This window comes from Homo sapiens, chromosome 12 (assembly GCF_000001405.40).
Source record: "Homo sapiens chromosome 12, GRCh38.p14 Primary Assembly".
Classification (NCBI taxonomy): Eukaryota; Metazoa; Chordata; class Mammalia; order Primates; family Hominidae; genus Homo; species Homo sapiens.
Window position 1 is genome coordinate 128371049 of NC_000012.12, and position 18046 is coordinate 128389094.

The window sequence follows — 18046 nt, forward strand, 5'->3', positions numbered from 1 at the left end:
CTAACCAGCATGCACAGGAGCCTCGTCTAACATGGATGGGATGTTAGCCGCATCTAACATCCTAACATAGTAGGATGGGATTTAAAGGGAAGGGGTTTCTGGGGGCCAAGGATTGTGTTCTCATGTGAACAGAAGGTGCATTGGTGTGTGGATAGTGTTGCCTGACCTACTTAAAATCTATTTTCCCTTTTTCTCATAGCAGCACATGGATTTTTCTGGGGGAATTATTTCTTTTTAATTCTCTGTCAATGTAAGTCAAGTGCAACTGACTTCCATCTTGGCTCCAGGAAGGCATATGACCCACGCCTGTCCAATCAAAGCATCCATCTTCCTCACCAAAGTGATTGGTTCCAAGATGGGCATGTAACATAAATCAGACCAATCAGAGCCAACAGACTCATCTTGGGGCTTCTGTTGGCTCTGTTGAGGGAGAAGCATACTCTTTGCATTGGAAATGTTGAGGCTTCCAACTGCTGGAAGTCATCTTTTTGTTGTTGTTGTTATTTATGTATGTATATGTGTATGTATGTATTTATTCATTTTTGAGACTAGGCCTTACTGTTGCCTAGGCTGGAATGCAGTGGCACAATCGCAGCTCACTGCAGACTCAACCTCCTGGGCCCAAGCAATCCTCCTGTCTCAACCTCCTGAGTAGCTGAAACTAAAGGCACATGTCACCATGCTGTGCTAACATATTTTTAAAATTTTTTTATAGAGACAGGGTCTTGCTGTGTTGCCCAGGTTGGTCTCAAACTCTTGGCCTCAGGTTATCCTCACTTCTCAGCCTCCCAAAGCACCAGGATTACAGACATGAGCCACTGCACCCAGCCTCTTTTTGTCATGTAAACAACTTTATTGAAGTATGATTTATGTACTGTAAAATTCACCCATTAAGTGTACAATTCAGTGACATTTAGTCACTTTGCAGAGTTGTGCAGTCATCACCATGACTTCAGTCTTACGATCTGCATCACCCCAATAAGATCTCTTATGCCTCTTTAGAGTTAATCTTCAGTGCCATCCTCAGTCCAGGCAACCACTAATAAACTTTGCTTCTCTCAATTGCTGGCTGCCATCTTGCCCCCATGAAGGGAGGTCCTGTCTGAGAATGGAGTAAGTCAGTCTGAGAGATGGAGAGAAACCAAGTCCTATGACATTGAGTCCGTGGAGTTAGCCATTGCTGAATCTTAGCTTTTTACAACAGCTACCACAAGATCCTTACCTTTAAAATTATGTGCGTGTGTCTGTGTGTGTGCGCATCTGTGAGTTAGTTTCAGTGAGGTTTTCTGCCTCATGTAACTGGAAGTATTCTGACTTACATCTACAAATTATAAATCATACCCTAGAGTGACATGGACAGAGAAAGACAGAGACAGACAGAGTGACTGAAAGCACAAGATGAAATAAACGTAAGAGAGAGAACAAAAGCTACGTTTTCCAGTGACAAAGCTGGATATAATATATAGAAGTGGTCTTTCTTAGCTAAATTGGGGATGTCTTTACCACTACTTTGCACAATAAGCATTTGAATGCTTATTAATTACTCATATCCTGTCTAGTTCCAAAAAGAAGACTTATCAAGATGCTGACAAGATATATTCCTAGATTAAGTAAGTTAACACAAGAAAAATGAGGCCAAGGGGAAATGTGGGCTGAGAGAGAAGTTGGAACTGAAAGAAAGCTTTGTAAACAGAAAGCTGAACCTGAGGACTTGTATACAACCCCCGAGATTGATGACAGCCAAATTCTAGGCTTTATCGTAACCAGAGTGAGAGGGAAACATGCTTACGTTCTAGAAACCTGGAGTTTGTACGTTTAAAACCAAGTAGGTGCTGAATTTCTCTGTTGAGCCACTCCATAGTGGAATTCATTAGCAGCAATTTTATAGGGGCTGATATGACACATTCAGAAGCATCCAGTGCTGGATTTCAGTTCAAAGAGCATGTGCTTTTTGCCCATTACAAAGGATATTAGACCAGTCAGGACTGCTTTTGGAGACAAGTAATGGTGTGTCATGCAATAAACACATATAATTGCCTTTAACAGCACAAGCTATCGGAGGAGGAACTCAGGCAGGGCTCAACAACGTCCTCAGGAACCCACATTCTTTCTATCTCTCTGCTTGGTTTAACTCAGCTGTTTTGTCCTCTTCCCACAGGATCAAAAAATCATTTCTACCTCTTCAGGCATCATACTCTTGGTCAAGAAAGGAAGGAGTGGAGCTGGTCCTCTCTGTCCTTTCTTGTCAAGGAAGGAAAAGCTTTCCACCAAAACAGATATCCCCCTAATTGTAATTGGCCAGAATTGGATTGCCTCTACCTTCAAGGTAGCCTGAGAAAGAGAGAAAGTGTTCAGAGGGAATGGGATTCCTGGCTGACAGGCCAATTATCATTGCCTTGCTGAATTCAACAAAACCAAGTTCACTTTGCAGGGGAGAAAGAGAGAATGAATATTGGGTAAGAGCTAGTAATGTTTGCCAAAGGAAAGGTGATGATTGGGACCAATTCCTCGTTGGTGGCTCACCTCTCCCATGCGTAGCGTAGTGGGATGTTCAGTGGACCGTGGGGCACAGAAGGTCAGCACCAGGCACCACTGGGTGATCCAGGAAGATCTCATGTTGTTGACTGCTAAGCCAGATCTTAGAGGATACGAAAGGATTCCTTTGGGGGATGGGGAAGGAGGTAGGAAGCACTCAGCAGATAGAGGCATGAGTGAACACCGGTAGGTCTGAATTTGTTCAGGGTTTTGGAGGAAGCTCAAGCAGTTCACTGTGAAAACATCCTAACACGAGCATCAGGGAGATGCAGGGGCAAGGCCAGAGATGGCCTTGCGTGCTGCACTTCAGCTTAGATTCCATTCCTGCAGCAGCTGCCTGCATCCCCTGGCTTCAGTCAGGCGAGTAGTGGGATTTAAGACATGGGCCACCCAGCCTGGACCCTGGCTTAAGATCCTGTGTCTCTCATGTAACCTCTGTGCTTTAACTTTCTCCTCTATTGAATGGGGATAATAAGAGTCCCTGCTCCATGCTGTGTAAGACACGATGAGGAAATGCAGGTGGGGCACTGTGGATGATGACTGGCCCGGGTGGGGAGGGGCTCAGCATGTGGGAATGATAACGGTGACACACACAGAGGTTGGGGGACATCCGGGAGACTATTGCATAGTTTATGCGAAAAACAACGGGACTGAAACTAGGACCCTCCATGGTGGAGTGTGTGTTGTATATGGAAGAAGTCAGGTTTCAGAACTGACTGATTACTGGTGTGAGGGAAGAAGAGGTGTCAAGATGAGCTCTTGGGGTTTGCGCTTTGTTGTCTGGGCGGAGCCATTGCTGCTGGCACCCCTCAGACTCAGGCTTTCCGGTGCCCCTGGAGTGACTACAAGTCAATGAAGTTCTCGGGCACAGTGAGCACTCTGCAGAGGGGTGTGGGAAGGAGAGCCAGCACCTGCCATTTGCAGACGTGTGCCAGGCAGTGGGTGGGTTTGGCTATTTGGCGCCTGACAGCTACTGGCTCTTCCACTTGGTGTCTTTTGCACCTTTATGCCAAGTGCTGTGTTAGGCTCTGGGCACCCTGTGGAGTAAGACACAGTCCCTGTCCTCCTGGCCAGGAGGGTAAGACACACAGGAGCCCAAGACAAATGACCATACAACACCCACAGTGCAGAGATAAGGCCAGCCTGGCCAAGACAGTGAAACCCCATCTCTACTAAAAATACAAAAATTAGCCACGTGCGGTGGCAGGTGCCTGTGATCCCAGCTACTTAGGAGGCTGAGGAAGGAGAATCGGTTTGAACCTGGAGGGTGGAGGTTGCAGTGAGCCGAGATTGCGCCACTGCACTCCAGCCTGGGCGACAAACTCCGTCTGTCTCAAAAAAAAAAAAAAAAAAAATGCTGCAGGATAGAGACAGAAATAAAAGACAGCAGGGGATGAAAACCATTCCCAGCCTCAGCACCATTCGCTCTTGGCCAGATTCTTCTTTGATGGGTGGGTGGGGTGGGGGGTATCCTGTGTACTATGCAATGTTCAGCAGCGTCCGTGGCCCCTAGCCACAGATGCCAGTAGCATCTCCCCAGAGTTGCCACCAAAGATGCCCTTAGATCTTACCAAATGTCCCCTGTGGGATGGCTGGTTGAAAAGCAACCAGGCTGTCCTGGTTGAAAAGCACTGGGGACAGTGTGACCGGGGTGGGCGGGAGCTGTTGTCACAGGAAGGCCACGGGAGGGCTCCTCTGTCAGCTTCTAGGGATGCCGTGACAATGACCCCGCACTGGGTGGCATGAAACAAAAGACATTTCTGGAGGCCAGAAATCTGAAATCCAGGTGTTGGCAGGGTGGCTTCTTCCTAGAGGCTGTGGGGGAATCTCCCGGCTTCTGGTGGCTCCAGGCAGCACCTGGTCTTTCTTAGCTTGTGGCTGCATCTCTCCCTTCTCTGCCACCTCCTTCAGATGAAGTTTCCCTCCGTGTCTCTCCTCTGTGTCTGTGCATCTCAAATATCCCTCTCCTTTCTTTTTATAAGGAAACAAGCCATTAGATTTAGGGCCCACCCTAAATCCAAGATGATTTCATCTCGTGTTCCTGAACTAATTACATCTGCAAAGACCCTGTTTCCAAATAAGATCAATTCATAAGTGCCAGGAGTTTAGCACTTGGACACAGCTCTTTGAGGGACATAATTCAACACTATACTCCCTAAGGCATGAAACCCAAGGGAAGTGTGGGAATGAGGCACTTGAAGAAGTGTGTGTGTTGGGAGTTGGGGATGGTATGTTCCAGGGAAAAGAGACGGATGCAAAGGTGATGGATTTGAGGCAAGAGCGAGGGTGGCATATCCAGGGTGGCCACTGGGTCTGGAGTGTCAGTAGCAGGGCAGATTTAGAAGGTGACTTTGCATACCTAGGCAAGGCCAGCTCATGCGGGATGTCGGAGCCCATGGGAAGCACCTTGCGTTTGAGGCTGCCTGCGGTGGGAAGCTTCAGAGTTTCAAGCGGGGCTTTGCTATGGGTTTGTTCTGCTTTCCCGTTTTCCCCTTTGGAGGAGGCTTACAGAGATAGTGATGACTTTGCAGCTGTTAATCATCAGGAAGCTGTAATCACTAAGAATGTTTGAAATCATCAGTTAAGGATTTTTAGAAGGAAGTAAACCAAAGAAATACTGCAGTAGCCTGCCCTAATTATTTCCTGGGCTTAAAGTAACCAGGTGCATTGGAGAGATTATTTTTCTTCTTCTGATTTATGAAGGTCTCAGGGTCCAAATTTTGAAACTGCTGATCGAATTTGTTCTTGGATGTTGTCATAGAAATCTGAAACTTTCCTACTTGTCTGAGAGTGAAATTTCTTTGATTATTCACTCAAGGGTTTGATAGGTTTAAAAAAAGGCCTTCGGGACATCTCTTGTTATAAAGTGTCAACTTTAGATATCAAGAGAATCATGATATATTTATTACTACAAAAGAGAAAATAAGCAACTGAAAAACTCATGAACTTGAAGCATGAAGCAAACCCCTTAAGTTCTAGGGGTTTCAAGATGTGGATGCCAACATGTGATGACATTTAAAAGATGGATCCAAATATGAGATTATTTCGAGCCTCTTGGAATTTTGAAAGCTAAAGAGTGTTGTTACATGAATGAATGTTATTTTACAGATGAACAGGTCTAGTAAAGGGTATGCATCTCACTTTGTATTTAGGAACAGAAAACTTAAAAGAAGAAGCAGTCTCCTTGCCATTCCGCTCATAGGTGTGTGCCCCGAAGTGGGCATGGGATGTAAACCTGTTTTTCCTCACAGGTCTCTGTTCTCCTGAGCTTTTCATAGAGTGGGTTTACTGTGGGAAGATAAGCATTGCTGCTATGGCGTGGACCCCCAAAGCAGGCCAGTGACTGCTGACATCCAGCTCTGGAAACATCCATCTCTCTGATGCTGGAGGGAGAAACTGGACTCCCCTTCAGGGAGATGCTGGACTCACTGAACTAAGAGATTTTTATGTCATCCTTTACCATGTGCTTTCTTGATTTTTTTTTTTTTTGAGATGGAGTCTTGCTTTGTCGCCCAGGCTGGAGTGCAGTGGTGTGATCTCAGCTCACTGCAACCTCTGCCTTCCAGGTTCAAGCGATTCTCCTGCCTCAGACTCCCAAGTAGCTGGGATTACAGGCATGCAGCACCACGCCCAGTTAATTTTTGTATTTTTAGTAGTGACAGGGTTTCATTATGTTGGTCAGGCTGGTCTTGAACTCCTGACCTCGTGATCTGCCTGCCTTGGCCTCCCAAAGGGTTGGGATTATAGGCATGAGCCACTGTGCCTGGCCCGAGAATCTTTTTCTATAGATACTTTTGACTCTGTTTTTGCCTCAGCGGGCTCACTACAGAACCTGCCTACCACGTAGGTTGGGATTCTATTGCACCACTGTCAGGTGGTGTTTTTCCCATTGTAGGTAATGACCCATTAGAAGGAGATGAGACAAATTCAGCAGGTATTTAAGAGTCAGACTAGCATGGAATGAAATGGAAGTGAATACAACAGGAAGTATCAGAGTAGAAGAGAAAACAGTGCTGTGTAATGAGACTTTTATTTTGGTGAGATGAATTCATATATGTGTATATAGGTGTGTGTCCTGATGGTGATGAAAATATTTCAAACCGTGGGACACACCCCAGCATGTTTGTAAACCATCCCCGTCCTCTCCGCTGCCCAGCTCCTCATTGTTAGGTCTTAAAGTAGGAAAACACATGGTGTGATTTGGGTTGGTGAATAGTCGACTTGTAGATCTGCGGACTCGTCAACATTGCTCTGACATCAGATTTTCTGAAGAGCAGTGTGGGCTCCTTCCCCAGGGCTGGCCGAGTTTTGAGGGGAACTGCAGGTTCTGATGTTTCCAACTCTGTATCTCTGCCCTCGTCATTTCCATGGACAAGTTATTTGTGCTGGTGTGAGATCCAGAATCGGTCCTGCTACGTGACAATGCCTGGAGCACGGAGCCAGGAACCCAAGCTGCCTCACCAGCGTGTTAGGGTTGTTACTGTGCCCGTTTTAGAAGATCACTTGGAGGTGCAAAAATAGAGCAGTTTTTTTTTGTTTTTTTTTTTTTGACATGGAGTCTCGCTCTGTCGCCCAGGCTGGAGTGCAGTGGCGCAATCTCGGCTCACTGCAAGCTCCGCCTCCCCGGTTCACGCCATTCTCCTGCCTTAGCCTCCCGAGTAGCTGGGACTACAGGAGCCTGCCACCATGCCCGGCTAATTTTTTTGTATTTTTTAGTAGAGACGGGGTTTGACCATGTTAGCCAGGATGGTCTCGATCTCCTGACTTCATGATCCGCCCGCCTCGGCCTCCCAAAGTGCTGGGATTACAGGCGTGAGCCACCACGCCTGGCCAAGAGCAGATTTTTTTAAAAAAATTAAGTACCTCTATTCATTTGCACCTTCACTACCCAGTGAGGAGATCAAAATTTCCTAGAGCAAATGCATTCGATGCCACTCACAGATTTCGACAGGAGAGCACAATTTCAGGAACGCCTACATCAAAGCACTAATTGGCACTTTTACAGTGTCTTTCTCCGCACGTGAGCCTTGCTGGTGGAAGGAGCTGTCATAGTAATGCGTATTCCTCCATGCCCAGTGAGTAGGGTGACGGTCAATTCACAGTTCACTAGGCACAAAAGATGACGGGGCTCTCCTCTGCTCGGGACAGCAAGAAGGTTGAGGTGATACGGTTTGTCGGTGTCCCCACCCAAATCTCATCTTGAATTATAGTTCTCATAATCCCACGTATCGTGGGAGGGACCCAGTGCCCAGGGAGAAGTAATTGAATCATGAGGGTGGTTACCCCCATGCTGCTGTTCTTGTGATAGTGAGTTTTCTTGAGATCTGATGATTTTATAAGGAGCTTTTCCCCCTTTTGCTTGCATTTCTCCTGCCTGTCACCATGTAAGACATGCCTTTGCTCCTCTTTCACCTTCGGCCATGATTGTGAGGCCTCCTCAGCCATATGGAACTGTGAGTCCATTCAACCTCTTTTCTTTGTAAATGGCCCAGTCTTTGGTTTGTCTTTATTAGCAGCGTGAGAACAGACTGATACATGAGGATGCCATGATGGATTGGTTGTTCATCGCAGCCCTGCATCCCCTACCATGCATGGACCATGCCATCAGATGGGGTTGGGTTATGGTTGGTCAGTGAAAGGAAAGATAGGGGTCACATGGTAGGTTGTTGGTGAGAAAAAGATATTGATTTCCTGGGTAATGTTGGTGCAGATTAGCTGAGCAGCTGCCTCCTCTGTCTCCCCCATGTTGTTTTGGTCAATCAGCCCACACAGTTTGGAGGATTCTGCCTGGTTTGTCTCAGCTAGGCTTTTTACAACCTATTCCAGTTGCCTGGGACTGCTATAACAAATGGCAACAAACTGCATGACTTAAGACAACAGGGATTTAATTCCTGTCAGTTCTAGAGGCAACAAATCTGAGCTGCACCCACTCCAGAGGCGCTAGGGAAGGACCCTTCCTTGCCTCTCCCATCTTCAGGTGGCTCCAGGTGTTTTGGCTGGTGGTTGCATTGCTCCAGTCTCTGCCTCCATCTTCACATGACCTCCTCCTCTTCCTGCATCTTTTCTTCCTCTGGAAAAGGACACCTGTCATTGGATTAAGAGTCCATTCCAAATCCAGAATGCTCTCATCTCAAGATCTCTTCCTTAATTACATCTGTAAAGACCCCTTTCCCAAGGAAATAACGCCACATTTGCATGTTCTGGGGCTTGGGCATGGACATATGCTTTTAGCGACCAGCATTCAACCCACTTTAAACCCAAGAGGAGAAACATACTCTTCTGTGGTCAGAGTACAGAGTTCTGTTCAGTAATAGTTTGCTAAGACCTCACCCTGTGCTATGAGCTGGGGATAGTCCGTGAGTATGGGTGGAGATAGAGACACTAGCCGATCAAGCACTTGTCACAGTTCTGCCACTGAAGAGCCAAAGAACTTTCAGCAAGAGCTTAATCTCTCCATGCCTCAGTTTCCTTATCTGTAAAATCTCCTTTCCTCAAAGCTTCTGCTCACAAGTCATCTTTTCTGTAAGATCTTCTCTGATCACCGTATTAAAACAACATGCACTCCTGTCCTTATTTTACTACACAGAAAGGAAGCTTCAGAAAGATGGTTTGTCTATTCTGTCTATTGTTCTGGCTCAGGCTCATAGTAGGTGAGCAAGAGCTGTGTGTTGAAGGAATGAATAGTGTTGGAGATGCCCTAGGGCATGTGGCCAGATGTTTGTGAGAAATAAATCAGAGAATCCATGTAGTAGGAGATCTTGTGTAAATGCCAGTGCCTGCCCTTCCGCCTCCCATTTCCTGAATTACTTCTTCTGTACCAGACCTGTAATGCCTTGGATGCCACTGAGTCACAGCAAGAAATATGCAACAGGATGTTAAATAATAAGGGAGCAAGATGTATTATTTGAGCATCCCATCTTTTCTAAGACAGAGAAATTGGAGGGAAGTACAATCCATTTTCATTATTCACGGTAGGTATCTTCTATAAAGTCTCCATAAACACTAAATTAGCAAATACTGAATCATTGCTCTAAAGGAAATATAAGCCAGGCATGGTGGCTCACACCTGTGATCCTGGTATTTTGGGAGGCTGAGGCAAGAGGATGGCTTTGAGTCTAGGACTTGCAAACCTGCCTGGGCAACACAGCAAGACCCCATCTCTTTAAAAAAAAGAGTGTTTTAAGGGAAGTACAGAGCTAGGTCCCTACAAGCCTCTGGTCATAACATATTCATCAATGGATTAATGCATAACCTGATTATATGCATTTTTCTGTCTAAAGACACCTGATTAGATACATATTGTTGACTCATTCACATTGAACTCATGGCCAACTGCACCGTAACTCATGCCTGAAGGAAGCTGATTGAATGCAGGTGTTGTCTCTGTAAAGCACAGTGCCGCCTTCTTGCACTTAGGAACACTAGACAGTGCTTTATTCCTACACTTAGGGGATGTTTGAAACAGCAAAATCGCCAAAAGAAAGCACAGAAGACCAAAAACATGAAATTACAAGGACCGCAGAAAGGCCACTTGCTTATATGTAGTATCGTGGCTGAAGCAGGACAGTACAACGCGGGCATATTTGACCTCAGGTAGGAACGTGCTTTGAGCCACTCAAAACTGTCTCTGCACCGCCTTATTGGGGGAATGCCCGTGAAAGTACCAGGGGCACTGATGGACTTTAGCTAGTAGGTGGATTTGCAAATACAGAATCCCACAAATGATGGGGCTTGACTGTGAATCCATCTGGTGGAGCAGAGTAGGAGAGTGAAGCTTGTCCCATTCATTTCCCACAGCCTCTCCTGGGAAACTAAAGTTGTCCATGCCGAACACACGTGGCAACCCTGGGAGCCGGTCTTCAGGGAGAAGCGGCTTTCTAGAATCGAATCTGAGTGTTTACAGAGGACTCAGTTTAGCTAGTTGTGGCTGCTCTTTTGAAAGGGCTTAATAATAATATAACCGACCAGCAAACCTATGGACGTGAGAGAGGAAGCCTGCTCAGTCCTTCCTAGGGAGTGGCTCCTAGGGTCTCCTGCGGGAATCGCTGCTCTGAAGATGCCATCGGAAGGCACAGTCACTGGGCTGCAGCAGAGTAGAGGGAGCTGTCCCAGCTGGGAGGCTGGCCGGGGTTTAATACCCTCCACAAAGAGCAGCTTTGAGGGGGACGGCATCTGGCGGCTTGAAAGAGTGCCAGTGGCAAGACACAAACTTCAGTGGCTCAAAGAGAAGCACTTCTCGGAAGCTTCCCTTGCTTTTTGTCAGCAATGAAAAGCGGTGGGCAGTCTAGCAACCTCTTAAGAGGAAAAGGGGAGTTTGCTTTTAAGAGGAAGACAACCCCGCAAAGGGGAAACCGTCTCGGATACACTCTGCCCTCTCACCTCCTTCTCTTTGTCCCGTTGAAGACCCTTCGCAACACTCCTCCCCCAGGGATGTCCATTTTTGGTTTTGTTATTCGCTTTTTTTTTTTTTTAGGTACACAAATAATACATTCATACTTTAATGGCGAAGCTGATTCCCCATGGCTCAGCCACCCACTGCCGCTCTGTAATATTTCAGCCTCTCCTTAGGCGAAAGAAGCCATTGTTCTGAGCTTGGCACGAGCTCCCGGACCCTTCACGTATTGTGTACATACAGCTTTGTGCTCACAGAAAAATGCATTTTTTTCCCTGAGTTTTAAAAAGTTATATAAATGCTATCATACTGACGTACTGCACAGACTGCCACTGTAGGAATATTATTTCCTTTGTGATAAAAACACAAGGTATTTTTAAGATCCCAGACATCAAAGATCGAGATAGCGCTGACTGATAGAACTTCTGCAATAATGGGAATGTCCCCTGAGCACTTGAACCATGGCGAGTGTGACCAAAGAACTGAATTTTTAATTTTAGTTAATTTTAATATCAATAACCACATGTGGCTAATGGCTCAGTGTTGGATGGTAGCACAGCTCTAGGTCGTTCTTTTTATTGTTTTTTTATGATGGGAAATTTTCAAACATCTATAAAAAGAGAGGATCCTATTCCTATGCACCCAACCTCCAGCTTTAATAATAATGATTCAGTAATAAGAATGTCACCATTCTTGTTTCTAGAGTCTTCCTTTCAACTCTCCGTGGTATTCTTTTACATAAATAAATACATGTTTTAACCTTTCTCCTATTGACAGAAGAACAGATATTCTAATTTTCTGCTAAAACACATAAAAGAGTGATCCTCTTGGTCTATGTTTCTGAGTGTTATGTGGTATGTATATCTGAGTATGTATGTGTATCTGAGTATGTGTGTGTTTGTGCTGTGTGTACCATATATGTATCTGTGTATGTGTGCATATTTGTGTGTGTGAATCTGTGTATGTGGGTGTGTGTGTATGTATGTGTGTGTGTACAGGTCTGTCTCTGTGTCTGTATGTATCTGTGAGTGCGTCTGTGTATCTGTGTGTATGCATGTCTGTGTGTGTGCACGTGAGCATCTGTATGTATGTGTATGAGTCTGTATGCATGTGCATCTGTGTGTACATGTGTATACATGTGTGTGTATGCAGTTGTTTAGGTGTGTGCCTGTATGTGTGTGCACCTGTGCATGTGTGTCAGTGTGTGCGCATGTGCACCCCTGTGTACATGTGTGTATGAGCATATACACATGTCTGTGTATTTGTGCTCTGTGTATATACGTGCATGTCTGTGTATTCCTCTAGGGCAGGAACTTAGAAGTGGGCAAGGGGTGGATGCATTTTCAGCTTTCGCAATGGCCAACCGCCCGTTGGCCAATTCACTTCCACAAGCAGTGAAATCAACTTCACGTGGAAACACGCTCCGGGTGCTAAGGAGCTCGCAGCCGTGCTGAGTCGACCTGTCCTCAGGGACGGATGCTTGAGCCGTTTCCCATGGTGCTCAGGCTCTGGCATCCGACTGGGAATCCCTGGGTGTCCCGGGATTCAGGGCAAGATAAAGCAGGTCAGATTAATGACACAAAGCCCCCCTGTTGTCCTAATCATCTTATCATTCCTAAGTTCAAACGGAATTTCTCTCTCCGCCCCCAGGGGGTTTCTATTTCCCCTTCCCCAGTCCTTGTCTTTGTAGGGCAGGGGACCATCGGTGTTTCTGGAGCTTGCTTGAATGAGTTTTTCCAGGCGAGTACTTTCCCATAAAGACACCATTAATGCAGTAAGGAATCAGAAGCCCAGGGAGGGAAAAGGCTAAGCCATTTTGCTTACTTAACGGCTTGCAAAGTTCTGCTCTGCTTCCAGGAATCCTCGTAGTGTAGCCACTCTCTTACTGAGCAGTCCTTCCATATCAGGATAGTTATGGATTATCTACATAACGACGCTTTTTAAACTGTTAAGAGAACTGCATCTGTTTAGCTGGCCTACTGTGGCCCTATGGCTAATGCCAAAGGGTGCGTTTTAGCTAAGCTGCAGAGTTTAAAAACAAAACAAAAACAAACAGCTCCACTACCACCAAAGAAACCCAAACAAACAAACAAACAAATCCTACAAAACAAAAAGAGGTGGTCAGGTTCCAGAAAAGGGGACAAGGGAAGAGTCAGGTGGGCAACCCGTCGTCAATCATTAGAGGAGCTGAAGTCTGACCTTCTCCTTCTTGACAGACAAAGGAGACAATTTAGAGAGTAAAGTGGATCAAATAAGTCACTGGTTTGGGAGGTGGTGAGCATGGGCCACAGGATGGGAAAAGATCTGGGGGCGCACCCTCCCTGCAGAAGAAACCGTGGGTTGTAGGAGCTCCCAGGGCAGGGGCTCTGGAGGGGTGGCTCCTCCAGCAGTTGTGCCATCCCCAGCCTCGATGACAACGGCAGGCAGGGTTGTACCATTTGGTTTCTATCAGATGAAGAAGGGTCAAGAGGTTTTAAGAACCCCATTTAGGGGAGGGATCTTTGTTTTCATGTTCAAGGTCTGGCAGCAAAGTTTCCAGGATTCAAAGCAAAGCAAGCCCGTGATGGTGGGTCGGATGGCTCTTTTATGGCCTTTGGTGAGGCCACTGTGTTGGGGACTCCATTCCTAGGCTCCACTAAAGCTTCTGGAAGTCAGAGGGTTGGATCAGTCTTGTTCAGTTCTGATTTTTACATGTATTTCTAGAAACTTTTTGTTCCACTTCATCAGGCCTCATGCAGTGAGTGAATATTCTGTCCGCTCCAAATCCACCTCCCACAGTGGGGCACTAAAGGCTGGCTTAGTGAGGGGACTTTACCTTCTACTTTCAAGTAAGTATCCACCAACCCTCCCTTCAAAGATGCGCACACTGAGACATAATGAGCCTCATGCCAAATGCCATGTAAATAGAGTCCCTGCAAAGGCCTCTGCCACGCAGGACGTGGTCCTCTCCGGGCTCCTAAAGCCTTCACGGCCACCTGTGATCTTCACATTCACGTCTGTCAAAGTCCAGCCTCCTGTCTTGGTGTTCGTCCCTTTGTCTCAAAATATTCGAGAACTTTATGGGATGTCATACCCCTTTGCAGATTCGGATGGCAACAGCGTGATGAGAAGAGCTCGGCTTTGGAATTTACATGGGTCTGTGTTGAAATCCTGTGTGACTGGAGACTTGGTTATGGTCTCAGCCTCCCTCTTCCCATCTGTGGAATGGAGGCAAGGAGACCTGCTGCATAGGATCATTGCAAATATTTGAGACATAATCGCCGAGTCCTCGCACAGAGCCTGATAGGATCATTGCAAATATTTGAGACATAATCGCCGAGTCCTCGCACAGAGCCTGATAGGATCATTGTAAAGATTTAAGACATAAACGCCGAGTCCTCGCACAGAGCCTGATAGGATCATTGCAAAGATTCGAGACATAAACGCCGAGTCCTCGCACAGAGCCTGATAGGATCATTGCAAAGATTCGAGACATAAACGTCAAGTCCTCGCACAGAGCCTGATACATGGCACATGATGATCACATTTCCTTTTGCCCCTAAAATGTTTCCGTTTTCAACTGATGTGAGGGCCGCTATAAGAGACCTGAGCCCGTGGGCTTTGTCTGCAGTATGTATAAAATCATGACTCTGCTTTATACAGGATACGTTAAAGATCCATTTTAGCATCCTTTAAGTCATTGGAGGAGAACAGGGAGTAAGGAAATGAGAAACCATCTCTGAAGTTAAAAAGTTAAAGAGGAAATGTCAGAAATTCAATTTGGGTATAAGTCCTTAACTGAACCTCTGTTGCATAAAACACAACCCATCAAAAATAACTAGGGAAGGACATTTGATCTGCGGCTCTGATTTGCCGCAGCCGCAAGTGAGAGTCATACACCAGTGACGTGGGTGCTGTCTGCTCCATGAGTTGCTGGTGGACAGGGCTTGTATCTCCCAAGCCGGCTGCCTACTCTGAACTTGGGGTGAAGGCTACCTCTTGATCACAGTGCTCCCACAGAGAGCTGGGCTATGGCCCCTGGAACAGCCCCTCACGAAGTATTTGGTTCTCGCTGGCTCAAAGGGGTTGCTGGTAGGACCCCCTCACACTTAGACCTAGAAGACACGCATAATGAGGCTGTGTGTTATTCGGAATTTTATGGGCAGAAAGTGCCTCCCCATCAGAACTCTGAAAGCCACTCCTTAGCCAGATGTGTTTTCATCAGAGGTGGCCTTTTATTCATTTGCTCCTGCCCACGTACCCCTCTCAGAATGTTCATTTATGACCCATCCAGCAGACCTGACAGGTGGGCCTCTGAAAGTGGCACCGTTTCTCTCTTTCGCCAACATTTAACCCTCTATTTTCTAGACTGATGGAAGGGCCAACGCTTGCCTTTGAACCACAGGGGAGACACCCTGATTTTCCCCCTCCAGGGGCACAGGCACAGAGGTGGCTGTCCCTGCAGAAACTTCCCTCCACATTTTCCCTTTCCGTTGGGCTTCCCCAAATCCTCATCCCTCCTTCCACAAACCCAGACCCTGCCTGGTCTCATGGTTGTGGAGAATTAACTCAGGGGCAAGAAGGCTGGATAAGGAGATAAGTGAGGAAATAAGAGAAATAAAAATAGAAATGCCACAGCAGGGATCTCGTGGCAGTACCCACTCTGGGCTGGGATTGTTCTACACGTGTGACAGGCGTTAAGTCCTCCCATCTTCTTGATAACACTGTGAAGTAGGTTTCATTCTTATCCCCCATCTTTTAGATGAGGACATTGAGGCAGAGAAAGGGGACACATTTGCTTTACATTCGCTCTGCTAGATCAGGTCCTGATGCGTAGTAGATGCTCAGTATTTGTTGAGTGAATGAAGATGTGATTGATAAAACTGGAAATGGGAACAGTGTGGTGGCTCACACCTGTGATCCCAGTACCTTGGGAGGCTGAGGCGGGAGAATCCCTTGAAGCCAGGAGTTTGAGACCAACCCGGGCAACGTAGTGAGACCCACATCTCTACAAAAAATAAAAATACATTAAAAAATTAACCAGACATGGTTGATGCACATCTGTGGTCCCTGCTACTTGGGAAGCTAAAGCAGAAGGATTGCTTGAGCCTAGGAGTTCGAGGCTGCAGTGAGCCGTGAATGTACCACTGTACTGCAGCCTGGGTAACAGAGCAAGACTCTGCCTCAAAAAAAAAAAAAAAAAAAAAGAAACTAAAAACTGGGAATGGGAATGCAGTGGGTTGTGCTGTGCAAAGCTCTCAGCAAAGCCCCAATTCGGGAACCCGCAGGACAAGTAAGCATGTGTGCATGCTGTCCTGAGCTGAGCCTTACCTCTAGCAGGGATGCTGGCGTGGAGGTTGCCCCAGATCTGGGGCTTCTGCACCAGGAGGTGTGGATGCCTCTGGTTGGCTGTCCACCTGGAGCACCAGGCTTGGGAAACCTGTGCCTGGGAGGGAACCGCACACCCAGTGCTTTGCCCTGCAAGGCTTTGAGTAACTGAGTTCCATTGTAGACTCCTCCGGCAATTCTAAGGAACCAAATTGTTCTCAATTCATTATGATGAAAAACAAAAATCAGCTGGGCACGGTGGCTCACACCTGTAATCCTAGCACTTTGGGAGGCCGAGGCGGGTGGATCACGAGGTCAGGAGTTCAAGACCAGCCTGGCTGACACGATGAAACCCCGTCTCTGCTAAAAATACAAAAATTAGCTGGGCATGGTGGTGGGGGCCTGTAATCTCAGCTACTGTGGAGGCCGAGGCAGGAGAATCACTTGAACCCAGGAGGCAGAGGTTGCAGTGCAGAGATCACACCATTGCACTCCAGCCTGGGCAACAGAGTGAGAATCTGTCTAAAAAGAAAGACAAAAATCACGGAGGCAATTTTTGTGTGTGGAGACGTGGGTGTTTGTGCAGGCCAGCTGCCCGTGCAGGCGGGAGTCGCCCTGCCTGGCTCCAGGAACCCCAGACCCAGCTTGCTCCTGGGCAGCCGTGCCCGGCCGTCACCTGTGCCCTTCCCCGCCCTCTGGTGGCAGAGCTTAGAAATGTCCACTGGCTCCTTGGCCGGCAGGTTCCTGTATGGGTCTGACTTAGTCCCAAGAGGCCAGGGCTTCTATTTCACCCAGGGGATCCCTCCACTTCCAAGAGCCCGAGCCCAGGAAAAGCGTCTGGGCCAGTGGCTTCCTCTTCTGGGATCCGTGGTGTCAGTGTGGAGAGAGGAAGAGGCTTTTCTTGGGCTGGCGTGGCCAACCCAGAGAATACAGGGCCAGGCAGGGCTGGAATGCCAGGGCGGCCAGGTGGGGCCTCTGGTGATCCGAAGACCCAAGGGACGGCCCCTCCCTGACTCCAGCCGATGGCTGCCAGGCAGCGAATCCAGCCTGCTGTTGCCCCAAATCTTAACTTTTCTAAAGAAACTAAGAATCTCAGTTTTTATGTGCTGTCTCTAATTTTAAAGAAGTGGCATCTTCCCTCCCTCTCTTCTTCCCCTTGTCTCTTCTCTCTTCCCTCTCTCCCTGCCTCTCTGTCATTCTTTTAACTGCTGTGTGTGCAATAAACTGTCTGAGGGCCAGTGAGGCCCCCTGGGCCTAGAGTTTGAGACTGCTTCCCTGGAGAAGGTGTCGCTGAGTCTGAGCTCCGCAGCCTCTGACCAGCTTGGACCAGCACTGGGCTGGGAGCATGTGTTCCGGGTGAGAGAGGGCCCCGCAGGCCCTGCCATCACCTTGCTGTGGGGGCCACCCCAAAGAGGTACAATCATCCTCCAAGGAGGCTTGGGCCGTGTGCTCTGTGCAGCTGACGCCGGCTGGCTTCACTCCTTCCCTCCACTTCCGGGCGCTGATTTTGTGTTGTTTATTTCGGTTGCCCTAGTTTTGATGCAATAACGGGGAGGATCTTGTTTCCACTTCTTAACAGAGTGTTGGTTTCACACGTAGCTTGAGGAAAACAGTGGCAGCTGGCTAAACACATACCAGATACTGAATTCACAGGAGGCTGCTCCAAAAGAAGTCTGTGCGGGCAACAGAAGACCGTGACAGTTTGTATTTTGCCAGACTCTGTGGCTACCTTCACACCCTGCAAGAGTCCCCCTGGGAGAGACAAAGACCAGAGACCCTGGCGAGATGCAGAAATGAGTCCGGGGTACCCAG

The 18046-nt window shown here is 47.4% G+C and overlaps 1 protein-coding gene across 3 annotated transcripts in view, besides 3 other annotated features; it reads left to right on the forward strand.

The window, feature by feature from the left end:
• The window catches only part of TMEM132C (transmembrane protein 132C), a 440742-nt gene that overhangs the window by 103879 nt on the left and 318817 nt on the right, over nt 1-18046 (forward strand). The window lies entirely within an intron of this gene.
• Nucleotides 10485-10986: an enhancer, noted in NCBI's record as "NANOG hESC enhancer chr12:128866078-128866579 (GRCh37/hg19 assembly coordinates)". NCBI's record gives its function as "activates a minimal SCP1, AML or CMV promoter by ChIP-STARR-seq in naive H9 embryonic stem cells {active_cell/tissue: H9 hESC(naive)}" and the evidence as "EXISTENCE:reporter gene assay evidence [ECO:0000049][PMID:30033119]".
• Nucleotides 11834-12805: an enhancer, noted in NCBI's record as "OCT4-NANOG-H3K4me1 hESC enhancer chr12:128867427-128868398 (GRCh37/hg19 assembly coordinates)". NCBI's record gives its function as "activates a minimal SCP1, AML or CMV promoter by ChIP-STARR-seq in naive and primed H9 embryonic stem cells {active_cell/tissue: H9 hESC(naive and primed)}" and the evidence as "EXISTENCE:reporter gene assay evidence [ECO:0000049][PMID:30033119]".
• Nucleotides 12806-13776: an enhancer, noted in NCBI's record as "NANOG-H3K4me1 hESC enhancer chr12:128868399-128869369 (GRCh37/hg19 assembly coordinates)". NCBI's record gives its function as "activates a minimal SCP1, AML or CMV promoter by ChIP-STARR-seq in primed H9 embryonic stem cells {active_cell/tissue: H9 hESC(primed)}" and the evidence as "EXISTENCE:reporter gene assay evidence [ECO:0000049][PMID:30033119]".